Genomic DNA, 27,756 nt, shown 5'->3' on the forward strand with positions numbered 1-27,756 from the left:
TGGAAACAATACACTTTCTTCTCCTAGCTCTTACTTCAAGTAGAATTTATACTTCTTGTAATTCCATAAAATCTATTTCTTAAATTCTGTTATAACAAACAATCACACTGTATTTATAGTGTACCTCAGCTGAAGAAGGCAATGATTCAGTAAAAGAGTTGAGTTTTAAAGGATGTACAGAGGGGTTTGAGAAACTTAAGAACTGTACAAACTACATAATTTGAGGATCACAGTTCAGTGAGTAGTTTCTGCTGTCAGTGAGGCTGTAGCAGCACTCCTCACTGAATGTGAAAAACTACAGTATTGACAAATGTGTTTAAACCACTATGCACATTTTCAATCCTGATGAACTAGAGCTTTTATGGGGGAAAAATGCCACCTCAATTTTTTTTTAGACAAGAACAGCATTAGAACATCAAGAGGTCAAAGATAACTCAACATTACTTTTTAAGTGGAAAGTGTAAAGATGATATTAAGCTAAAACCTTTTTTAGTATACCACTTGAAAAACTCAAGAGCCCTTAAAGTAATGTTAAAGGAAGCAATGCTTATTTTATGGTGTTCAAATCATAAAACTTGCATATGAAGGTATTCATGATGTTGTACAGAACCATTCTTTATTATTCATCAAGGAACATATGGAGAAAGAAAATCTTAAACAAGGCACTTCTGATAATAGAACATGCTTATGTATATCTCTTTCTGGTTAACATTATTTCTGAAGACAATATTTAAATGGACTCTTTTGCCTTCCAATTGAATGTCATTAACGCAGCCTATAGACAAAGGACATATCACGCTTCAAGCATATTGATGATGAATATCTGATGTGGGGTGCTAATACATTTAATACTTCTTTAATGTAGGATTTATAAAAGAGTTTTCATAAGATGATACTATTAGCCAATCAGGCTTGGAGGAAAATATCACTGCAAACAATGAATGGAGTACGGAAGAATCCAGTACATATTTTGCTAACTTCCAGGAGTTAATGGAAATGTTGACCATAAAGCAAAAGTCTTACATCTTGCTAAAGGAGGCTGAATTTAATGAAATGGACAGTAGAAATGTTGATGTTTATAAGTGAAAAAATCTTTCCACTTGATGTTCATCATTAGTCAAGCAAAGAAAAAGGAGTCACAAATACTTGACACCGAATCTTAAAAAAAAAAAAATTTAGACCACACAAATAAAATGTTTGTTGTTACAAGTGAGTTTGATCATGACAGGAGAAGACTCACCACATTAAAAAATTAAACTACAAATAGAGTATTGGGCGACCAGGAGCTGAAAAAGTGCAAGTAAAGTAACTTTAAACAGTTTATTCATTCTGAGTTTTTTCATCCAGTTGGTTTGTCTATGGCTTCAGTTGATGGTTCAGAGCTACTTCCATGGATTCAGACATGGATGAACCTCAGGCATCTATTTCACTACACCAGTTCACTCTGGCTTAACTCACTACCAAACAGCAATGGGCGCTAAAGCTCCTATTTCTTTTTTTAACCACTATATTTCACTCAACCAACTCTATAATCAATTAATCAGACATTTTAAAAATTGCCTTATTTATTTTGCAAAGTGCTATTGACGATCATTAATTATCTAACATTATTTCGTTATTTGTTTACACTATAGTACATGTTCATTGGTGAAGTTAACTATTTCTTTGTATGTAAAGAAACACAGACAATCTCTAACTCCTCTTCCTGCTTTAAAATGCTACAATTTTAGATTGTTCTTTAGAGAAAAACAAACATTCTATAAAACTAAAGAATGGGAATGGCAATCACCTACCACATGCCAAATCCATAATTTCTCAAAATTGTTATTATTTTAATTCCTGAAATATATTTCTCCTAAGATCTCTATGGTTTGCTACCTCAACTTTTTTTTACATCTCTGCTCAAATGTCATCTGATTACCACTTATAAAAATGTAATCACCATCTCCATGCTTTATGTCCCTCTCCATTTTGTCTCCATGGCATTTATCTATATTCATATACAACCAGCCTGTGAGAGGTTTGGATGTGTGTATATACACATTCAACCACAGGTATAATTTACTTGTTTATTATCTGCCTCCCTTCACTAGAACATAAAGGTCCACGAAGACAGGGATATTTTTTCTTTTGTTCACTAGAGCAGTGCCTGGCATGTAGTAGGAGCTTAGTAAATCTTTCTTAAATTAATGAACTAGTCATGGACCAGAAATATGTTTTATAAAGACCAACACGCTAGTTGTGCTTGGGAGAAAAGTCACAATTGGGGAAAAGAAAAAACTAAATTAGTAGCATTCTATACAAGAACACACAGGTGATGATACAGTTGGTAAATTCATGAGTTACTCAAGAAAACTGGGAAAAATATCATTAAAAAGCCTTATTTAAGACACTATAATACTAACCAGTCATATAGCACATATTAGTTCTTCTGTTACTTCCACATAAAAGTGCTTCTTCCCATAAAGTACTTAAATATAAAGTATTTTGAACAGCACATACAGATTGCTATATATTAAATATAGGCTAATTTTACTGACTGCCATATTAGAGACAGCACAGGGAAGAAGCATTACCTAAACACAGACGGTAATTCAAAAAACAGGGCCCCAAATAGAATTACATCTCTTTTGATGATCAGGTCTGCATTCTCACCTACTATACTTTCTCAAATGAATTAGAATACACATTAGAATACAGAAAGAAATTATTTAGAAAAACTCCTAACAAATTATATAAAGATAAATAAAAAACCCATTTTCTTTCCCCTCAAAAACAATTTTTTTTTTTTTTTTTTTGAGATGGGGACTTGTTCTGTCGCCCAGGCTGGAGTGCAGTGGCGCGATCTCGGCTCACTGCAAGCTCTGCCTCCCAGGTTCACGCCATTCTCCTGCCTCAGCCTCCCCTGTAGCTGGGATTACAGGCAGCCGCCACCACGCCCGGCTAATTTTTTGTATTTTTAGTAGAGACGGGGTTTCACCGTGTTATCCAGGATGGTCTCGATCTCCTGACCTCGTGATCCGCCCGCCTCGGCCTCCCAGAGTGCTGGGATTACAGGCGTGAGCCACCGCCCCCGGCCAAAAACAATTTTTTAAAACTTTTATTTTACGTTCAGGGGTACCTGTGCATGTCTGTTATTACAAGCAAACTCATGTCATGGGGGTTTGGTGCACAGACCATTTCAACACTCATGTACTAAGCATAATACCCGATAGTTATTTTTCCTGATCCTCTCCCTCCTATCACCTGCCTCCCATCCTCCTCCCTCAAGTAGGCCCCAGTGTCTATGGTTCTCCTCTTTGTGCCCATTAGTTCTCATTACTTTAGATTCCCACTTATAAGTGAGAACATGTGATACTTTTTTTTTTTCCTGTTCCTGCGTTAGTTTACTAAAGATAATGGCCTCTGGTTCCATCCATGTTGCTGCAAAGGACATGATCTCATTCTTTTTCATGGCTGCATAGTATCCTATGGTATATATGCACCACATTTTCTTTATCCAGTCTACCACTGATGGGCATTTAGGTTGATTCCATGCCTTTGCTATTGTGAATAGTCCTGCAATGAACATATGTATGCATGGGCCTTTATGGCAGAACAGTTTATATTTCTTTGGGCATACACCCAGTAATGGGATTGCTTGGTTGAATGGTAGTTCTGTTTTTAGCTCTTTGAGGAATTGCCACACTGCTTCCCACAATGCCTGAGCTAACTTACACTCCCACCAGCAGTGTGTAAGTGTTCCCTTTTCTCCACAACTTCGCCTGCATCTGTTCCCCTCAAATTTAAACATTTACCCCAAAGGATATTAGGGATGTACAAAATCACTGAAAGAATAATGACTAAACATTTCTGAAAGGAATTTAGAATCACTTATATTTTCAGTATTTTTGGCTGATCCCTAGAACACCTTAGAATATTAGCACTTACTTGTCATCTGCAAGGACTCCCTCATGATGTTTATCTAAAGGTCTAGCATACTGCAGCTGTGAGTTACGTTTTTAAAAAACCGTTGAAAGGCCATCATGATTTTAAAGCATTGCTTTTGATTCTGAAAACATTTCTTTTCTAAAAGATTTAAATGCACTCAATTAACTGATTGAGTGTTAATGGTGCCAGGTACTATTCTAGGTGCTAGGGATATAACAAAACACAAAATCCCTGCCTAATTTGTTCTTATATTCCAGAAGTGGCAGATAAACAGATTTTAAGAGGAGTAAGGGAGAGTTTATAAAAATAATGTGAGGGCCAGGCGCGGTGGCTCACGCCTGTAATCCCAGCACTTTGGGAGGCCGAAGCGGGCAGATCACGAGGTCAGGAGATCGAGACCATCCTGCATAACACGGTGAAACCCCGTCTCTACTAAAAATACAAAAAATTAGCCAGGTGTGGTGGCGGGCGCCTGTAATCCCAGCTACAGGGGAGGCTGAGGCAGGAGAATGGCATGAACCTGGGAGGTGGAGCTTGCAGTGAGCCGAGATTGCGCTACTGCACTCCAGCCTGGGCAACAGAACGAGACTCCATCTCAAAAACAAACAAACAAAAACAAACAAATAAACAAAAACGTGAAAGAGTGACTGAGATGAATTATCAATAGGGTGGTGAGGGCAGTGCATCGTCAGGAGAGAGGCAATATTTGATGATATGAAGAAGTTAGCAATGTGCACTGGTAGAAACAGGATTCTAGACAGAAGTAACAGCAAGTCTAAAGATCCTGAGAAGAAAATAAGGTTAGCTCATTTGAGGAAAAGCAAAAAGTCAGTAAGTATTCAAAAGAACGAATAATAAGATGTGGTCAAGGAGGAGACAGAACCAGACCACATAGAGTCCTTGAGAGATTTTATTCTAAATAACATGTAAAGCCACTAAATGTTTTTGGACAGAGGAATAATGATCTGGTTGAGGCTTTAGAAACATCATTTTTCTTTTTGCATAGAAAGCTGAATTGGTAAGATGGGGGGAGAAGTAGAAACAAAAGGACTAGTTAGAAGGCTCCTTAGTAGTATAACCAGACCAGATGGGCCTCAGATTAAGGTGGTAGCAATGGAAATGATGAGACATGGTGAGATTTAGAGTAGATTTGAAGGTACAGACTTGATAATAGGTTGCATGTGGGCTGTAAAAGATACTGAGAAACCAAAGAAGGCTCCTGGCCTTTCAGCTTGACCAACTGAGTCACGAGTGATACCTTTCACAAAGATGGAAAAAGCTGGGGAAGGGAAATAGGATAAAATCAAGTGTTCTGTTTTAGACAGGTCATTGTGGGATGCCTATTAGCCACTGTAGTGAAGAATTATCAACTAGGCAGTTAAATATATGAGTTGGTAAAGCAGGAGGAAAGGTCAGGATTAGATTGAATATGTAGTTATTATCAGCACACACATGATAATTAAACCCATAGGACTGAGTGAGGTTATCAAGTGAGTGAATGTATATCAAGAAGAGAAGACAGCTGAGGACTAACTCTTACGGCTCTTCAACATTTAAAGGTCAAGAAGAAGAAAACCAGCAAGGATCATGTGAAAGAAGCAATCTGTGAGAAAGGCAAAAAAAATCCAAAGGGTATAATTTTCCAGAAACCAAGAAAGTGATCAGCTCTATCAAACGATGCTGAAAGGCTAAGATGAGAAATGACTGGCATTCCTTTGAATAGGACAAGATGGAATTACCAGTGAAATTGATAAAACAATTTCAGTGGAGTGGTAGGAAAGAAAGTCTAACTAGGATGGATTGAAAAGAGAAGGGAAGGTGGAAAGTGGAGATGGCAAAAGTATGGACAATAACAAATATTGTTACTAAACACCTACTGTGTGCTAGTTCTTGAAATATATTAGTTAACAAAAATTCAGTTCCTCATGGTGCTTATATTCTAGCAGAAGGCAACAGATAACAATAAACAGAATAAGTAGAGTATATAGTATAATAGAAGGTGATTGTTCTATAAAAAGGAAGGAGAATTTTTAGTCGGTGGAGGTTTGAGGAGAGAGAGAAAATAACTTCCTATAAGAGAGGAAATCGACTAAATAAAGGAGACTTAGAAAAACAGCATGATTGGATGTTTTCCTCATCAAGTTCAGCTATTCTAGAGTAAGTGTGTAGTAAAAGAGAACTGAATTAAAACACAGATAAGATTCTGAGTGTTAAATATGACAAAGGCAAAGAGAGGAAAGGGAGTTAAGATCTTACATGAAAAATGATCATGGTTATCAAGCACAGTATCTGAACTGAGTACAGAGAGAAGTGAAATCATGAGGAGATAGTCAACAGTGAAAGTGGTGTGGTCTATACATTGAAGGCTGCAATGAGGTGAAAAAAGACTGGATACCTGCATAAATAATCCCATTAAAAAGTGGGCAAATGACCTGAATAGACATTTCGCAAAAGAAAGCACACCAATGGACAACAGGCATATGAAAAAAATGTTCAACATCACTAATCACCAGGGAAATAAATGCAATTCAAAACCACAGTGAGACATCATTTTACCCCAGTTAGACTGGGTATTATAAAAAAGACAAATAATAACAAATGCTGGCTTGTGTGAAGAGGAAAGGCAACTCTTTTACAGTTTCTGGGAGTGTACATTGTACAGCCACTATAGAAAATAGTGCGGAGGTTTCGCAAGAAACTAAAAATAGAACTACCATACAATCTAGCAACCCCACTACTGGGTATCTACCCAAAGGAAAAGAAATCAGTATATCAAAGAGATACCTGCATCCCCATGTTTACTGCAGTACTATTCACAATAGCCAAGTTATGAATTCAACTTAAATGTCTATGAATGGATAAAGAAAATGTGGTATATCTACATAATGGAATACTATTCAGCCATAAAAAGAATAAAATCCTGCCGTTTGCAGCAAAATGGATGGAACTGGACAGCCATTATGTTAAATGAAAAAAGCCAGGCACAAAAAGACATATATCACATGTTCTCATTCATATGTGGGAGCTTAAGAAAACGCTGACCTCATAGAGGTAGAGAGTAAAATGATATTTATCACAGGCTGGGAAGGGTGGGAGGGGATGAAAAGGTTGGGTACAAACCTACACAGTTAGCTAGAAGGAATAAGTTTTAGTGTTTGATGGTACAGTAGGGTGACTACAGTTAATAACAATATATTGTATTTTTCAAAATAGAAGCAAAGATGTGAAATGTTCTCAACACAAAAATAACTATTTGAGGTGATGGATATTCTAAATACCCCAATTTGTTATTACACATTGTATACATGTATCAAAATATCACATGTATCCTGTAAATATGTATAAATATTATGTATCAGTACAATAAATAAAAAATAAATATTGGAATGAGAGTATTGGGATAAGATGGTAGTCAGAAAAAGGGATAGGTAAAATTAGATTTGGGAGGTGATAAAGGTATAGGAATGTGGGAAAAGGTGGCTAGAGTAGAATAAAGGAAAACAGCGTTGGAAATGAAGAAATCAAGTAATGGAGAGGCCAGGGTGTTGGATGTATCAGCTACATAGAATTTGAAGTCAACATGAGCTATGATGGGAATAGTATTTGGGAGGAAGAAAGCAAAAAGCCTGGTAGAGACAAAAATGTAGATGGAATACTTTAATGCCATGGCTTCAAAGAAGGTTACGGTTTTGATCAAGCAGGGCAGATATAAAGATCTTGAAAGTTGCCTGCCAGTTGCCTCCTTATGTTACATAAAGTAAGGAATTAAAAACAATAGCAAGTGAGAAGTCTACAAAAGCATCCTTTATGAACACATAAGTTTCAATTAGAGCAATAAAGAAAGAGGAACACTCAGAGAAGAGACTGAGGGATTCTGTTGATGGAAGACCAGAAGCTCCAGAAGACAAAGTAGAAAGAATTTGGGTGATTGTAAAGGGGTAGGAGACTGGGTCAAATTAGGGAATTAAAAAGCCAAAGGAAGAGGAGAATCTGGGTGATGATGGGATGAACTGGTAGATTTCCTTTAATTCCTTCTATGGATGGACTTGCAAATAAAAGGGAGATTTTTATCAGAAATGTAAAAAGTCTTCAATCCAGTTCTAATTTTAAGTGTGTTCTTAGAATTTGTTTACTATCTTACAGGTACCTGGTAAGAAAAGAAGAAAAATCTTTTCATGAACACCTCTAAATGCAGCTCATAATGGTATATCAGTTATTTTATGGCAATTACAATTCCCTGAGAGTTCCAAAAGGGCAACCTATATAAGAGAAATTCAAAGTATGACCACGATGACATCACAAAGGAACACTTACTAAGAAACACTTAAGGCCTGAATGAATCATGTTAAATTTACATAGTCAATCAAGGATGTCTGCATTTAGAGAAAAGCACTCTAAAAGATTAACACTACCTGTTTTTAAGAAATCAATTACTTTATCATCAGTCATAACCCAACTGGTTAATGAACCATACTAGTATTTATATCATGCTAGAGTACAAAACAAAACATTAACAGTTTAAAAGGAAAAGGGTCAGTGTTCCCAAAAGGCACGGGAAAATAAAAAGGTTTTTAATATAAAACCTGGCTATCAATTAACTTAAGGGAAAAGAGTTTGTTAATAGGAGCTTTCAACTAACGGCATCAAATCCATCAAGAAGGTCCTTCAGGAAAAAAACAGAATTGTGGGTACGTGAATGCTAAGCATGTGTGGGTATTAAAAAAAAAAGCAGGAAAAACATATTACATTTTGATGAAGGATGACTTTGTTATATAGATAGCAGTATGATTCGTTCAGCTACTATGTACATATTATCTGTTCAATTTAGTCCAGTCCAGCAGCCTTCAATTTAAAAATAAAAGATGAGACATCTTCCTGAATCATAAGCCAGTGACTTAAACATTTCAGGTGATTAGAGAATCTGCAGCTAAAGGCCAAAATAACTTAGTTTACATTTCATAAGGATATCTGTAAACAAGGCATTTTATATCTATATGCCTATGTTTATCAACATTCCAAACAAACTGGCTGATATTCAAACTATACACAGTAATACTTTAAGTACAAAGCAGAGAAAGGTTAACTATATGTACGTACAAAATAATTTACTTCTTCAAAACGAACAAAGGAAGTACTAATACTACCGAATATTCTGAGAAACTGAAAGATATCTATCTAGGTAGAGTTTATCTTAGTATTCATTTATTCACCCAAGAAATACTAACTCAGGACCTAACATGCAGGTACAGTCCTAGTTGCCGAGATTCTGCAATAAACAAAACAAAGTCCCTGTTATTATGGAGATTTTCATTCTACTCTAGCACTCTAGTTAATTTTAGTGTTAACCTCTAGAAGGAATTCAGTTTTTAAACATTTCTAAAGTAAAGAATATACAAAATTAGTTAAAGTTCACCTTTGTCCTAGAACATCCTCCTCTGCATTTGACTTATTCAACCCTGAAAGAGTATTTTTGACTAGCTTCTAAATACAATGAATTGCTTGAGCTGTATTTAAGTAATACGCTTCTTCCAGTCTTGAGACGGTTTAATGCCAGTGGCATTCCTACAACCTATTTATTATTAAGCACTATAAGGGAATTAATCACTGAAATTGTTCAGAGGCCACATGAAGAAAAAATAGAAACCTATAAGAAATATAGAGTATTCCCCATAGTTCCTCTCTAGTCTGCTTAATTCAAATAAAATAATTCTAATCCTAGTCTGCTAACTAGTGGAGAATGGGAAGTGTTTTCTACTTAGTACTTAAAAGAGTCTAGGTGCTCCTCACACAGAACACTGTTCATTTTTTGAACTTCTTCTGGACGGCTCAAATGTTCAGCACACAGAGCTAAAAATCATGGTATTTAACTTTTCTGAGCTTCACAGTTCCTACCTGTTAAACAGTACTTACCCTCTTAATATTGTTTTGGCATTAAATGAGATAGAGCATAAAAAAGGTTTAGTGCTCAATCACAACTGATGATATCAATCATCATCATTATCCCAGGTAGTGATATTCTCAATAGTAATAGCTTATATTTATCATTAGCACCATCTCAAAAAGCATAAGTTGGGAAAGACAATAAATTAGTTACCATAAGGATATTAGAAGATTTCTTTGTGTTTTAGCAAGATGATCAACATGCACATGTTCCTCAAACTAAGCAAAAGATTTAAAGTACCAGGAATACTAATGCCATCCATATCCAGGATCCCTAAAAATGATTGCATTTGGGATATTTTCAGGGAAAAAAAATCTGCACTAAAAAGATGTTTTAACAACACGTCATAATACTACTCCAAAGACTCAGAAGTATTTCCTGTCTTTAAAATAATATTTCTTGCCTTTTACTTCAAAGTAGAGTTAATAGTAGAACTCAAATGGCAAACTAACAAAGGAGTTAAGACCATTTAAAAGATATTGTTACTATCTTCTAGCCCCATCTTGGTCAGACCATTTGGAAATCTCTAAAATGATTTTATTGAAAGCAAATTTAAAAAGCCCAAGTAAACAAGCAGAAAAACTTTTATGTTTAATTAAATCTGGAAAGTGATGAACTACAAATAAAGAAATTAACAAAGGCCTAAAATAAAGCAAAAACACTAAGAAGAATCTTTAATTTAAAAACTCTGCAATCTTTCAAAAGATGTTGAAGAAATCCAGAAATGGAGAGGTCACTAAATATCCAAGAACACTCACCCAACCATTGGTAGGAGACCTCTTGGAGACCCAGATGCTTGAATCAGCTGAAATAGTACCAAGTTTTTACTGATTACTCTTAATAGGGCAATGGAGCATAGGCTAACTCCATAATATCAAAAATTAAAGGCTATTATTATTGATAATTCTAGTTATTACCATTACAAATGACTCAAAGGAAAAAGAGACTGAGTAATGACTTCCAAGGTAAATGAAACTTACTGTGTGCATGTGTGTAAATGTGTATATTTCTTCCAGTTCTCTTAGTGATACAAGTCTGATAACATAATTTTTCCTGTAAGTGAATACTAACAGAATAAAATTTTCTACATTAATGTTACAAAATCCTTAAAGAAAGTATGTAAAATTATTGTTTTAAAGAGATGGGGTCTTGTTGCCCAGTCTGGCCTTGAACAAATGGGCTGAAGCAATTCTCCCACCTCAGCCCACCTGTTAGCTGGGACTATAGGTACGTGCCACTGTACCTGGCCATAAAACATTTTTAACACTGTACTAAAAATTTTGAAAAAAGATTTGATTTTTAAAGATAATGCAGATTTCTCAACAGTAACACAAAGGAAAAGATTTTCAGTCTCTTGCTCTTAAAAATTATAGTTCTTAATTTTAGGCCTTTAAATTATATTAAGACTCTTCTAATAAGAGGATTTCCATATTCCAACATATAAAAGAACTTAGAACACTTAAGACTAAACAAAAGACTCTTGTATCACAGTCAAGTACTATTTTAAACATTATTGATTTAAACATGAAAGTTATCAATTTAGTAGAAAAATATCTAGTGATATCTCATTCCAAAGAGGAGTAAAATAGGGTCAACAAGTAGATGATGACAATATGGTAATGTTTTCTTAATCTCAAAGTTGAGAGAGAGAATAATCCCCCAACCTAAACATGCACCATAACTTAATCCAAAGGTCCAGGTGGTAAAAATAAGACACTCTATTACTGTGGGAACAGCCAAGAACAAAACATGAAAGGTCCTACATTTCTCTAATTCTCCCAAGTAACTAAAATATAAAAACTACTACTGCTTGATACATGAGTGTAAAGTAAGGGAACAAGTAAAACAAAAGCTATTTGGTTTGAGTAGTTTGGAGAGACAAGAAATAAAAAAGAACATTGATTTTTTTAATGTCTACTAAGCAAATTAAAGTTACCAAATAAATATTGAAATAGCAAGTCAGCAAATATACTCCAACCAAGCTGATAAGTGATTTCACTATTACATTATCAGGCATAGCTTTGCAATATAATATTATATATCTGTAACTTATTGAACATCAAACAAATTTTGAAGTGTTCAAGACAGCAATACAATAAGGAAGACCAGAAGCATAAGAAAAATTTTTAAAGGTTCCTATAATAGATGAGGAAAATGTGTGATAAAGTCAGAGAGATACTTGAAAATAGAATGCTGAACAGGAATGCCTAATACAAGACTAGTACTAGAATGATTGAGACTCCTACTGTCCCTAAAAATATAAAGAAAAATTAAGAATAAAGAAACAATAAAGAGTGAAGTAGAGAGACTGACATATAAAAAACTTTTGTGTAAAAAAATTCCAACATTTTACATCTCTATTGCAAATTTTAAATGACAAAGCATACCAATATTACCTTTCTTTCGAAAGAGTGCATTTAGGTAATTTTCTGCTTGGCATTCAATCTTATCAGTGTTGGACTGGCCCTGAGATGATAGCTCCTCTGTTGGTGTTGACTGTGAAGAATCAAGAGATGGTATACAATCCTAAAAGTATAAGAAAACAACAACATACAGAATTATTTTTTAATTCAAACATGGAATTCCATTAAAAATGACAAAAAATTAATGCTCTAAATGCCCATTTGTTCTGCTCTTTAAATTGTATCAAATTAGATAGAGGGAACATAAAATTCAGAATGAGTCAGGAAAAAAGAAATAGCTCTGATAGAGAGTCAAAATAACCTTATTCCTTAGCAAAACTACAGTCAAAAAAAAAAAAAAGAGCATATGAAACATACTGGTGAATAAATTCACTATATTGGCATGCCAGTAATGCAATCCTATCGGAGAGTTTTAACAACAAAGCAGATGTGTTTACCCACTAATCTGACCAAAATTGGTACAGGTTCTCAAGTTTTCAATTCTTCTCAGCCCTTCTCACAACAGTAGAAAAGAAATCAGAATTTCCCACCACACAAGAAGATGCTGGTTGCATAGTTTATGCCCCGTATACAGTAGACACTTACATATTTCATCATTTACACAGGAGATAATTATGATATCCAAAAGACTTCAAGAGTAAGTGAAAGGCTAAAACAGCACATTATTCCCCTACTATTAATTTCTAAGAAATCAGATTGTAGGGTGGTCTCAGACCAAAGTAGGCCTTCAAGCTCATCCCTCTATACCTAAATACAAAATAGACCTGAACTAAACTTAATGAGTCAGGGTAAGTAAGAGTAAGAAAGAAATGTGAAATAAATAAGTAAAAAAAAAGATGAGTTTTCTAGGATTTTCACCTGCAAGTTAAGCTAAATGTTAGATTTCTAATATGACTTTAAAATATTATTTTCGTTTACCAAAATCAAATACTTAAACTTCCACTGTGAGTCACAAATTTTCAAAACAAATTAAGATAAAAAAAAAACTGTGTTACAATTGTGCATTAGTTTAAAGATAATTTCATAGCACTAAAACTTACACTGACTGCTTCTCTCTGTAGGTTACAAAATGAACATTTTTCATCCATAGACCAGTCAGTCAGCTCTTCTGGTTCACAGTCTTTAAAAGAGGGAAAAAATTCATTAAATATACTAACTTTATTAAAACAAATAAAATTACCACTCTCCACAGCAATGGCTCACATAATAATAATTTTTAAAAAACTAACAGTAATGGGAGAAGAACTAACTTTAAAATTAAACTCACAACATCTAGAAATAAACAGAGAAGGCTGTAAGGAGAGTAATCTGCACTATTATGGGACAAAATAGCAAGAACAATGAGCTGGTTATAAATTAACAATTTTCCAACAATAGGGTTTTAAATATCATCTAACTTTCTGAAAGATTCAACTTATCATTGTGCTTTAATTTTATTTTTGCTATGAAAGGAATCAGAACAAAGGGGGAGATATCTGGAGGAAATAAACTTTGCACACCATGAAAGACAACATAAAATAGAGAAATAGAAGAAAGCACTAGAAAAGCCCACAGATTTCAGAAAATGGAATGATGCCCAAGAAAACAAGTAAAAGTCTATAGCTCAAAAGTCAGAACAGATTTTTATTAAATTGTTTAAAGGCTTTGTTGCAAGAATTAAGAGTAAAAATCAGGTAAACAAATAAGGTATATTATTTAATATAAAACATAGATTTTTTTTTTCCAGAAGAATATTCCTTATAATCCAACTGTCGTAATATATTAGAGAATTTCTGGAAAACTAAAATAGTTCCTACTGAATTTTATGAAGGCATAATAATATTGTCATCCTAAATATATCTGGCATAGACATGATTTTAAAACTTAACCCTTGCAGCAGAAACTCTCCCCAATTTCTATTCCCAAATAAATTCATATGCAGAACCTCAAACATAAAAACCATTATCATCTAAGGCAGCTATACTGTGACTGATTTGAAAAACACTGGTCTATCACTGCAATTTTCATACTTTTGAAATACATGATGAAGTTGAATACACATCTCTGCTAAAATGCACAGATAATAAAGTTTTTCTTTTTTTGAAATGCTAATGAATAAATACTAGTTAGGATCAGTAGCTAGGACTCCCCTAAATCAACTCAGAAACACTGATCAGAAAAGAAGATAATATGTTGGAATATAAAGAACATAATAACAACTCCCTTTAATTTCTGCAGTAGTACACAAACTTATTACTAATATCTACATAAACTTGGACAGAGCAGGGAATGGAAATTAAGATGCGGTGTAGGGTAATGGAAAGATAACTAGATTTGAAGTTTCTGAAAATGTGGGGTGGAATCTCAATTACTAGTTTAAGCTTTTCAAGCCACAAAGTTGTTTTAATTACCTTGTATGTGAATAAGGATCACATCATCTAACTTATTTATGGATTAAATGAAAAAATGTAAAAATACTTTATAAACTATGAAGCACCATACAAAAGCCAGTTATAAACAAGACAGAATTACCAGTCGTTATTTTTTAATCCTATATGATTGTATGTGATTTAATAAGGTCAGTTTGCAGAAAGATTTTAATTAAATTTTAATTAAGAAAACTGGTCACCTTCTGTAAAACCTGACAAATCAAAAAGTTTCAACATTCTATATAATTAAAAACCCAGCTCCTATAGAACTGTAGCTATGTAGGCTTACGTAGGTTTCAAACTTTCACCCCCTCACTAGGACAGAATCACCATACAACGTAAGAAGAACTTGGGACCTCACGCTCATGTGAAGATGTTATTCCCCACTCACAGCCTGAAGTCCAGCTGAACCAGATCACCCATAAGCGTGCAAAAGATTTTGGAGTTGTTTTGGAACTGTTGTGCCAAAAACATGATTCCTATGCCAAGCGTAACATAATTCTGATAGGTCAAGGAAATCTTACTGCCCTTTTTTTTTTTTTTCTTTAAATCAGTGTCTCATTAAAGAATTTTTGGAAAATAGCTTGTAGGCTTCGGGAAGGGGTATTTTTAAAAAATAGCTGTACGGTTTCATAAAGTTTCAGTGATAAATATCCTCAATCAAGGGCCAACAATTTTAGATTAAGACAATTGCCAGTTGTAAGATAATATCAAGGCATCCTGAGATTGTCACTTATTTTAGATATTTTAGGAGTTCTTCAAGAAAATGTTAATTACAACAAATGTTTACACAGTCAAATAAATGGCAATGAATAATCAATTGAATATAAAGACCATTAAATTTTTCTGAATTCAAAATGTATAGCTTTATAGCTTTACTTACAAATATTTAATCACTCTTTCTATATTAACTTTTTATTTTAAACCAAACAAATGATGTTTGGTGGGATACATTTTTCTACATGGAAAAATAGCTTTTGAAAAATCAACTCTAGGCCAGATTTTCACTCTCCCCAGGTTATCTTTCATGTCATTAAAAACTAAATAAATGCTGAAATAAAACATTCATTTTAATCTCTCAAACAACGAATAAGATACTCATCTCTAAAAGATGTTATCTCTCTTTTTGAAACTGTAATGCATAAACTCAAAAGAGGTTAAATTATATATCTTATAGAAATAGCTTCATTAGTAAAAGGTAACGTCATAATTAAAACTAATAGTCAATGAATGACAAACATCAACCTTTCCACCATGGATATATACTCTTATAGTTAAAATCTGGCTTGAATCATTTTATCTAATCCAGATTTTGAAATAGGAGAACCCTAGTACTGAACTTTTTGTGGCTTTTCCACATACTCATGTGGCCTCAGTCAGGCAAGTTAACTTGAGTTTCAGATTCTTTGTTTGAAAAAGAGAATAATAATTACATGTTAAAGCTGTAGTAAAAATTAAAGCATGTGTGAAACACCTCAACAGATGTAATTTTTATTTTCTTCTAAATAACCTCATTATTAATAAATAATTTTTGAGTGTTTTAATGCTTTTTGGTCCCTTTAATCCATAGGCTGTAAATTTAGCGTTTCCAAAGACAAAGTTCAGTGAAAAATGAAAAAGAAGAATATTGAGCTAGATTTTTCATGAAGATCATGAAACACTGGTTATAACTGTATTGGTCTGAGGGAAAGATACTAATCCTTAGGCAATACAACTAAAAACTGATTTTTCATTATGGAATTACATATTAACTATATTGAAAAGTACAAAGGAGAAAAGAAAAATTCATAATCCCATCATCCGTAGACAATGATTAACATTTTGTTATAGATTCTTCTAGTTTATATTTTATGCCGCTTAAAAAACTAGGATCAGCTGGTTCATTGGGGAAAAAAATCAGTAAAATAAACCTCCAGACAAATCTGGCTAGCCAATGAAGAAAAAAAGAGAAAGCACAAATTTTTAATACTAGAAATGAAAGACTGGCCATCACTACTGATCCTATGGGCATTATAAGGATAATAAAGGAATATTATGAACATCATGCTCACAAATTTGATAACTTTAAATAAAATGGACCAATTCCTCAGAAGACACAAACTACCAAATCTCACACAAGGTAAGATAGATAACCTCAACAGCCCTGTATCTATTAAAGAAATTAATAATTAAAAACCTTCTGAAACAGAAAGCACCAACCCAGATGATTTCCATACAATCTGTCTCTAAAAACAGCAGCAGGGGAAATATGTCTTCACTTACTCTACGAATCCATCATTGTCCAAATATCAAACTCTGTCTGAATAGATACATCACCCAAGAAGATACATAGTGGCAACCAAGCATATGAAAAGATGCTGAATGTCATGTCATTAGGGAACTACAAATTAAGGCAATGAAATACCACTATATACCTGTTAGAATGGTTAAAATCCAAAACACTGACATCAAATATTGGTGAGGATGTGCAGCAACAGGAACTTTCATCCATTGCTGGTGGGAATGCGAAATGGTACAGCTACCATTGAAGATACCCTTACAGTTTCTTACAAAACTAAACATAGTCTATCAATGATGCTCCTAAATATTTACCCAAATGAGTTGAAAAAATTTGTCCACAAAAAAATTTGCCTGTGTTTATAGCAGTCTTATTCTAAATAGCCACATTTTGAAAGTGAGCAAGATGTGTTTCAATAGGTGAATGAATAAGCAAACTGTGGGTACATCTATACAACGCAATATTATTCATCAAGAAACAGACATGAAAAGTAATAGAGGACCCTTAAATGCACATTTCTAAGTGAAAGAAGCAAATCTTTAGAAGCTACATACTGTATGATTCCAACTATATGACATTCTAAAAAAAACAAAACTTTAGAGACCATAAAAAAATTAGTGTTTGCCACAGGTTTGGGGAAGTGGAAGGTATGACTAGGTAGAGTTTAGAAGACGGTTTTTGGCAGTGATATGCACTGTGTCTGATACTATAATGATGGATCAATGACACCATGCATTTGGCAAAACCCAAAAAACTGCACAACACATAGAGTGACCCTAATGTAAACTGTGGAATTTTGTTAATAATAATTTATCAATTGGGTTCAATAAAATATGCTAATATACAGGGACCTGAAGGCAGAGGAAAGAGAGTACATGGAAACTCTCTGTACTTTCTACTCAATTTTTTCTGTAAATTTAAAATTGCTCTAAAATATTTTAGTTAAAAAAATTAAAATCATATTATACCTTTATACTTATTTACCACAAATATTTCCCATACTCAAAGTAATTTTTGGTTAAGTATAGTCCATCAAAAAGATGCACTACAATTTATTTAGCCAAATTCTATTACTGAATATTTAGCCTGTTTCTCCAGTCTTTGTATTACAAGCATTATGATGAATATACTCAGGTAAGTCTTTACTTCAGATAAGTATGTATCAAATATCAGGTTGGTGCAAAGGTAATCGCAGTTTCTGCCTTTAGTTTTAATTGCCATTTGCCATTACTTTTTTTTTCTTTTCTTTTCTTTTTTTTTGAGATGGAGTTCCACTCTGTTGCCCAGGCTGGAGTGCAGTGACACAATCTCGGCTCACTGCAACCTCTGCCTCCCAGGTTCAAGCGATTCTCCTGCCTCAGCCTCCTGAGCAGCTGGGATTACAGATGCCCGCCATTACACCTGGCTAATTTTTGTATTTTTAGTAGAGATGGGGTTTCACCATGTTGGCCAGGCCGGTTTCAAGCTCCTGACCTCAAGTGATCTGCCTGCCTCGGCCTCCCAAAATGCTGAGATTATAGGTGTGAGGCACTGCACCCGGCCATTTGCCATTACTTTTTATTGACATTACTTTTTAACGACATTACTTTTTAACATTAAAAGTAATGGCAAAAATCACAATTACATTTGCACCAACTTAAACATACATATGTGATAAGAGCTAATATAATTTGTAACTAAAAATAACATTAGATTCTCTGGCTTTAATTGTATAATATAAATAATCATCAATTCATATTAGAAAACTACCAACTTCTGAGTAAATACTAGGCCATGAGTTCCTAATAAGAAGAGAACTTACTTATGCACCTTTTATTCCTTATTGCTAATCACAGCATCTAAGACAAAATAAGCATTCAAAATATTTCATTAAACAAATGTTATTAAAAAGTAGTTTTGTTGTCTCCATCATAGTGTTAACAGGTAGAAAACATGATATTAAGCCAAGTATATTAAATTTCAGTCAGTATTATAAGTCAGGGGTCAGCAAACCTTTTCCATAAACAGCCAAATAGTAAATATTTCAGGTTTTGCAAGCCATACAGTCTCTTCACAACTACTTAATTCCATCATTATAGTATAAAAGCAGCCATAGTCAAGGAATGAGTGAGACTATGTCCAATAAAACTTTATTAACTGAAAAATTAAATTTGAATTTCATATAATTTTCATGAAATGTTAACTTTTTTAACCATTAAAAAATGTAAGAACCATTTTTAGTTCATAAGCCATTCAAAAACAGTCAACAAGCTGGATTTAGCCCACATGCTGTAACTTGCAAATCTCTGATACAAATAATGCCTTTGATATGTTGCCACACCTAGAGAAAAAACAGTAAGCATTTATCAGTTTCTACAGGCCTAATGCATTGAGGTTCATGCCACATACAATCTATTCATATTTTTGTAAATATACACAGTCAGGTATATAAAATCAGATGGCCCCAACCAGATGAAAGAAACTGGCCTACCAATAAGACATAAAAGATTAACTAAGGTAGGAAATGAGTAGTTTTTGATTAAAAAGTCCTATGACACCAGAAGTGCAGTTAGGGTAGATGGAGGAGCAAGACAGGCATAGAGTACTGGGAACTCTTCTAAAAGTACACCAATGTGTGAAGTTTGTGACTTCTTGGAGACCTCACTCCAAAAAGAGAGAATAGTTATGCTTTCTTCATAAGGACAGTCATAAGACAGACTAAAGAAGATTTTGTTTCTAACAAATTAAAAATAAGCAGCACTCAAAAGTTTCTTTCAAAACCACTCAATCTGGAGGTGGTTGCGAATTAAATTCAAAAATTAAAATGTAAACCTCTCAAAACACTAGCGTGTAAGATAAAAAGTCTTTACCTTTAAAATGCTGTGCCAACGTTGATTTTTAAGGTAGTAGGATGAACTTTAGAATATATTTTTCAAGAGAAAACAGTAGGTTTGCAAACTAAAAGTATAATTAACTTAAATGTATATAATACGCATTTAATTTCATAACTAAAAAGAATTCAGGATAATATACAAGAATATACAAGAATTATATTATCCTGAAGGATGGCTGAAGAAACATCAAGCATGGGTTAAATTCTTGATTCTTTAGATTTTTCCTTTGTTCATTCGTAAACTCAGCAGAAAAACTGGTTAAACTAAAATTAGCATTGCTTAAATATTTCAGATAAAAATACTTAATTCAGTGCAAAACTATGTTAAAATAAGAAATGATTAAAATTAAGAGATTTCAGAAAAAAAGCTCTCTTAAGCCATAAGAATAATAAAACACTGGAATGGGTACATTTTGGAGTCTCCACCCTTAAAGTCGTGTTGTGTATGGCTATCATTCCATCTGACTGGTAATATATTGCTGGGATATCTTTCGTATGTACTTTCAGCTTTGTGATTCAAAACTGAATTACCCTGCTCAACATTAACAAAGACAAGCAGAAAACTTCTATCACCACTATCACTTCCTTAACTTAAAACATGTATTTATACAAAAGAGAGAAGGATCCTTAGAGATACTTTGTGTCTCAATAGAATGGAAAGTACCATAGTACGGTGGAAAGTAGCAACAGCACATAAAACTGACCAGATAGAAGATCCAGAAATAGCTCAATCAAAAACCAAAGCAGAAAATCTAAACCAACACTACTCATTTTGTAAATGAATTGTACTATAACATTTCAGATATATCTACAAAAATGTTCTCTCCTTGTGCTCTACATTTCCAAGCAAGCTATAAAACAGCTAACCTGTTTATGTGGTATTGCAATTACATCACAGATCAAAAGCTTCCAAGAGTATCTGAGCTAGAGCCTTTGGAAGAGAAGGCTATAATAAATAACAAACAATCTAATGTAAAATATAAAACTCTGAATACACAAGGTAGTATTTCTTGGAGTGGCAATCCAAGTTCCACGCTGCCTGTATCATGAGAAATAGAACATAACAGCTGCAAACCTGTAACCTACATTGCCAGACAGCAGCCAGGAGCCCAAGGGCTTCAATGGGCAATAAAGGCACTTTTGAGCACTGACCAGTTGCTACGAATACAAGGTTTAATGCCATATCCTTGTCTTCAAGGTTTGAGAACCTCAAAGGCCTTAAAGCTGTTGCAATACATTTAAGATAATCCACAAGTTCTCTGAAAACCTCATGGGAAAGACTGAAAACATGCTATGTTCCTATATTCTTGCAAGATCCCATTCCCTTCCCAAGGACAGTTTAAGAAAACACAGGTTATATGTCAAAGAAAGTGTTTATACATATGAGAACCCAAATAAAATTCTATTTCCTTTATGGTTCTGTAATTTATAATATTGGATAAAGTTCATCTGATATTCCACACTAGCATTACACATATAATATGATCAAAATGACTGGAAAAACTAATTGTTGGTAAAAATAGATAACGCTCTAAGGGAGGTCTCAGCCATAGACCTCCCTTTCCAATACTGGTAAGAGTTTCAGTAAGAAAAATACGAAGTGTGCTATTTAAAAGTTTCATAATTTTCATATTTTAAAAATTATATAACACATGTTTGATTTTGGAAAAAGCCACATATATAAAAGGAAACCATAACTATCCATAATCCATATTTCAAATATAACCACGACAAACATTTTGGTGTCTTTTCTTTCTAGTCTAAAATATACACACTTTTCTCGTTTTTGTTTTGTTTACAAAAATAGAATGAGTCAATATACAGTATATATACACTGCACTTGCTTTTCTTCAGTCTAACAATTCTTCCACATCATTAATAAACTCAACAACATAACTGTTAATATCTGCATATATCCGAATTATAAATATAAAATATTAAATAGCCCCTTTTTAAATACATAATAGCAAAAAAAAAACACTAGAAACAGCTTTGAATGACCTATAATGAGCAGCCTTATACAGAATACATCTTTTGCATACTTATTTGATTATTTTCTTGTGATACCTAAAAATACAGTGTAGTTATGTGTTTTTTTTTGGCTTTGAATATTTATTGATAAAACTGCTTCTTTTAGAATGGCTGTACTAGTAATACTTAGGAGCTCAAAATTGCATTAATACACAAAAAATCCTTTTCCCAACCATACTTTAAAAGCATTAGATTTTATCATTAAAAATACTTTCAATCTGATAGTAAACTTGTTCTTTGGCCTAAACTGTATAAAATATAATGATAATTAAAAAATTTATAAGCAGTATGTAACACTTTGGGAACATCCTAAAATAATAAATTGTACTCAATATTTAAAATTTATATTAAGAAATTAAGAAAATCTTTTAAGTTACTACTTAGTAATATCCCTTGGATATGATAGTTGAAAAAAAATCAAAGCAGGTCACGCCTAATAAGAAATGTATTCATGTTAAGTTAAAAAAATTTTTTTAATTGATCAAATATTAGCATCATTGCTACAATACCACTACCAAGGACACTTCTCCTTTGAACAATAGCAAAAAAGGCTCTATTTAATTTTGAAAACTATGCCAGTGAAGAGACAAGTTTATAGGTTAGAAATATGTTGACCTTACAGGTTTAGGTGACTAAAGTGACTGCCAAACTCAGTAAAACTAGAAAAAATTAATCTCCTGACTTCTACTCAATATTTTCTATAAATTCCTCATTTAAAAAATGTTTTACAACTCTAGCTCTTCAGATATTAGAAAGACATGTCCTAACAAAAACAAATAAAAGGAGTCAATATATTAGTTCACTTAGCCATTGTTTCTTCCTTCCCAATATTCACGTGTTTCACTAAGACAAATATTAAAAGAACAAACAAAAGTAAAAATGGGTGATAGCTTTTTAGAAGGCAATTATTCAATTGAACATTTAAATTGAATCAATTAAATAATTCAATTAAAGTTTAATAATTTGATTAAGCAATTACCTAACTCAATTTAATTAACATTTATTTATTTAAATCTTATTTAAGAGTAAGTTAGGGCGTAGAATCAATAAAACAACAAAAATTAAATTACACCATTGACCTCCAAACAAGCTTTATTTTCTATTTTGATTTAGTATATAAAATTTTTTAAAAATATGGTATGTAATAAAAATATCTGGATTACTTTATTAATTTTAAAATATTTTCTAATTAAATTGGATCATAAATTCATGTTTAATATAAAGTTAGTATAGAACAACAATTTTTCATTTGTTAAATAGGATGGGAAATGACAACTTTTAAATAAAATTTTAAAAATTACCTTCAAATAAACTGAGGTCTCTTCGTAGCCGTGGTCCATAAAGCCCTTCTAAAATACTCTCAAAACCTGTGTTTTTAGAGAGAGAAAAGTATATTAACTACTAGAAAAGTTACATTTTACAATTTAAAGTCATAAACTCTGTATCAATCAGCAAATTAATTTAACATACCATAAATATTTTTCCTCTAGCTGCATTAAACTGAAGTAGGCAATATACAACATAACAGTCACACAATGACTACCAGAAATTACATGACTGTAAAGAAATTAAAATATCAAAATGGAAATATTCACTACTAAAACAACTAAACAACTTTATCATTTATAAGTATTCCTGGGTAAAATATTATGGGCAGATTTTGTATGTAATAATCTTGCAGAGAGGGGAAGAATAATTAGAAGACACATAATTGTTTATGTTTGTTTTAAAAAAGTAAACATGAAAAATAGCATCTTTAACATCAATTACAAGAATGAGTAAATGAGGGTCAATAGGGAGAAATCTTTCTGTTAAACATATGATGTATAAAATTTAAACCTACTTGTAAAAATCAAAACACAACAATTTGGTCATTGCTATAGACTGCCCTAAATTTTAGGTAAAAAAAATTACTGAAAATCTTACCAAGTTAACAAAACCCTAGTTTATGCATTTCCCAAGTATTCCACTTTCTGGATATACTAGTTTTAAGATTTTACAATTTTCAACTTTGAAGTCTGTAACATATTTAATTTTAAGCAACAATCAACTACAGACATCCAAAAAAAAATATGATCCTGATGGCAAAATAATTGAGAAGCTAAGAAAAGGAAATAATGTAAGCCGTGTGTGGATTTGGGAGGAAAAAACTAAACATGGCATGACAGACCCTATAAATCAAAGAAAAAGTAGATTTTCTCAGTGGTATTCCTAAAATGTAAAACATTATTAATACTTCTATAGAAATATTTCATAAGTTATAAGATGCTTTTGAAAAACATTAACATCTCCAAAATCAAGACTCATCTTAGAATCTACTGTCATAGTAAAAAACTAGCCACAGTTTTTCATTTAATAAAACATGAACTACTGATGCATCCTACAACTAATAATGTCTTAGATTTCACAAAGTAAGGTAGCTATCATGATACTTGGTAAATATGTAATGAAATAAAATCTTCTGTGAAATGACAGTACTAGTTCCCATGAGTAGAAATTTCCTGGTAAAAAAGTGAATGAACTACCTACTACTCGAGCAAGCTATCATACTGGGTAGAGACTCAGACAGATTAAGCCCAAATCCTTCTATAGAAGGGTTATTCTATTTTAGAGTAGAAGATACTCTATTTTTCTGTCATCAACGTGCTTCAGAAATATTACTGCACTTGTGAGCATCTGTTGCTGATAACATAGTTCCTAAGACTGATCAAAAGTGTATTAGTTGGTCTCATTATAGTCTTCATGCTACTATCTCTCTTCCGCATTTTATGTCTCTTTAGCTTTCTTTACTGCATTTTAGTTAACTTCTTCTACTATCTATTCCACTTCATGAAATTCTTATGGTTCAATCTGCTGACAAATACATCTTTTTGTTTAAAAAAAGTCAACTTTATTGAGGTATAATTTTCATACAAGGTATCCATTTTAAAAATAAAGTTCAGTAACTTCTGAAAATCCATACTTTCATTTTGCCAAGAACACAACCAAGACAGAAACTATTTCCATCAACTCAAATGGTACCCTTGTGCCCTTCTGAGTAATCACCTGGAACATTCCAAAGCCCATTCCAAAGCATCTTTTCTCCTGTAATGGTTTTATTTGGTTTTGGTAACAGAGTAATGCTGGCCTCATAAAGCAAACTGGGAAATGATCCAAACTTCACCATTTTTTGAGTTTGTGTATTATAATATTTATTAATTATTAGTCAGACTTGGAGCTCTCTTTGTGGTAAAATTTTAATCATAAGCCCAGTTTTTAAAAATCAGTAAAAAACTATTTAGGCTATCGATTTCTTATTAATTCAGTTTTGGTAATTTGTATAAATTACAGCACTTATTGGCAAAAAAGTTGCTCAAAAGATTCTTTTAATACCTTTCACCATCTGAAGAATCTGTAGTTGTGTCCCTCTTTCATTCCTGGTATCAGTTTAGGTATCGTCTCTCCTTTTTCACTGATTACTTGACTAAAAATTGAGTAATTTTATTGATCTTTTTACAAAAGATCAATTTTTGGTTTTAATTATTTTCTTTCTTGATCACTCATTTTCTATGTTTTTCATTTCTGCCCTTTCCTCTTTATATCCTTCTAATTATTTTTTATTTTCACTGAAACTTATTTTTCTAAGTTTTTAAGGTGGAAGCCTAGATCACTTATTTGAGACCTTTGTTCTTTTCCAATAAAAGCATTTAAAGCTATAAATTCCCCTCTATTCACTACAATAGCTCTATCCCATAAACTGTGATATATTCTTTATTTTCATTTAGTTCAAATTGTTTATAATTTCCCTTATGATGTCTTATTTTACACATAGGATATAAATGTGTTGCTTAATTTCAAATATTTAGGTATTATTCAGAAATCTTTCTCTTTGCTGAATTCTTTTGTTTTTTTTTTTGAGACAGAGTCTTGCTCTGTCACTCAGGCTGGAGTGCAGTGGCGTGATCTCGGCTCATTGCAACCTCCACCTCCTGGGTACATGCGAATTCTCCTGCCTCAGCCTCCTGAGGAGCTAGGACTAAAGGCACATGCCATCACGCCCGGCTATTTTTGTATTTTTAGTAGAGATGAGGTTTCACCATGTTGGCCAGGCTGGTCTCAAACTCCTGACCTCAGGTGATCCATCCATCTCAGCCTCCCAAAGTGCTGGGATTACAGACGTGAGCCACTGGGCCCAGCCTGTTATTGAAATGTACAAGATTCTTTGTGGTTGTAAAACATGTAAGATTACAGTCATTGTAAATTTCCTGACACTGAATTTATGGATAGCATATGATATACACTGGTGAATATTCCATGTAACACGGAAAAGAATATGTGTCTGTAGTTACTGGGAGGAATGTACTATAAATGTTAATTAAGATTTAGCTGATTGATAATGTTCTTTGGGTCTTTTATCTCTCATGATTTTCTGTCTTTTCTCCTTTTCTGCCAATTTTGATGCTCTGTTATTGGGTACATTTATATTGCATATTTTTATGTCCCCTTTGTGAATTGATATCATCATTATAAAATGCTCCTCCTTGTCCTTGTTCTATTGTGTCTACTGTTATATCAGCTACACCAACTTTCTTATGATAAGCAGCATTTTCATTATGTATTTTTTTCCAATTGTTTAACTTTTAACCTGTCTTTATATTCAAATTGAGTTTCTTGTGGACAATAGAGTTGAATCTTGCATTTTTATTCAGTCTGAAAATATCTGTTTTTTGAGGACAGTGTTTTAGACCATTAAAATTGAATGTATTTATTAAAATAGTTGGATTTATATCTACCATCTAATTTGCTATTTATTTCCTCTGTTATACATTCCTCCCCATTCTCCACTCCACAACATTATTTTAAGTTAAATGAGAAGTTTGTAGTATTCCATTTTGTTGCCACCATAAACTTAATAGCCATACCTCTTCTAGTTTTTTTAGGGCTTGTCCTAAGGTTTACAATATTCATTTTAGCTTTTCACCATCTACTTTAAAACATTATAGTACCACTTAGTATGTAATGTAAGAATCAATACATAGAATGTAATATAAGGATCAAATCTCATTATATATAACTTACTTAAAAACATTTTAAATATATTAAAACATTAGAAAGTCTTTTAAATTTACTCACAATGTCACTTTTTTGTGTTTGTAGACCTATGCTTAAAGATCTACTAGCTACCATTTTTCCTAAAAGACAAAATCATTTGTCTCAATTTTTTAAAAAATGTTGTTTTGAGTATAAAGTTGTAGGTTGACAGTTTTGGTACACTGAAGATGTGCTTTCACCGTCTAGTGGTTTGCATAGTTGCTGGCAAGTTTACAATCTTTCTTTCCTCTGTTCCTCTGTACTTCGTAATGTGCCTTTTTCTGACTGCTTTTAAGATTTTCTTTTTACCATTGATTTTCAGCAGTTTCATGATTATGTGTCTTGGCATGGTTTTCTTTGTTGAGCTCACTAAATCTGCGGAATTATTTTGATTATTGAGCTCACTAAATCTGCAGAACTATTTTGATTTCTATGGCAGATTAGTTTCTATTTTCTAGACTTTCATGAGAATCGAATCTTACAGAACAGACTCTCTTTTGTGGGGGCTGGTCTTTTTCACTCAATAGAATAATTTTTAGCTTTCTCTGTATTGTTGCTGGTTATCACCAGTTTATTTCTCAGTATATTCCATTATATTAGATATACTACAATTTTTAATCTATTCAGAAGTTGGTGGATATACGTTTTCATTTTTCTTGTGTAAATAATTAACAGTGTAAATGTAGGGTTACAAAGTAGGGTTACATTTAGTTGTTTAAGAAACCAAACTGTTTTCAAAGTTATTGTTATCATTTTACATTTCTGCCATCTGCCATCCATGTATGAAAGTTACCATGGCTGAT

General features: G+C 33.0%; 1 protein-coding gene across 20 annotated transcripts in view; it reads right to left on the bottom strand.

Annotated features, from left to right (window-relative positions):
- LCORL (ligand dependent nuclear receptor corepressor like) overlaps window positions 1-27,756 on the bottom strand; it is a 180,689-nt gene that overhangs the window by 108,449 nt on the left and 44,484 nt on the right. For 15 of the 20 annotated variants that reach the window (NR_158566.1, NR_158563.1, NR_158564.1 and 12 more), the window contains exons 2-4: window positions 23,185-23,250; window positions 13,335-13,414; window positions 12,268-12,397 (exon numbers count right to left, since the gene is read on the bottom strand). Coding sequence is in view for 11 of the 20 variants with exons in the window: in XM_017007965.2 (XP_016863454.1) it covers window positions 12,268-12,397; window positions 13,335-13,414; window positions 23,185-23,250 (276 nt within the window). In the remaining 9 variants the exon portion in view is untranslated. Of the gene's footprint in view, window positions 1-10,629; window positions 10,677-12,267; window positions 12,398-13,334; window positions 13,415-23,184; window positions 23,251-27,756 lie in introns of all 20 variants that reach the window. The other 5 variants (NR_136669.3, NR_158568.1, NR_158567.1 and 2 more) reach the window with 2 other exon arrangements.

This window comes from Homo sapiens, chromosome 4 (assembly GCF_000001405.40).
Source record: "Homo sapiens chromosome 4, GRCh38.p14 Primary Assembly".
Taxonomy (NCBI): Eukaryota; Metazoa; Chordata; class Mammalia; order Primates; family Hominidae; genus Homo; species Homo sapiens.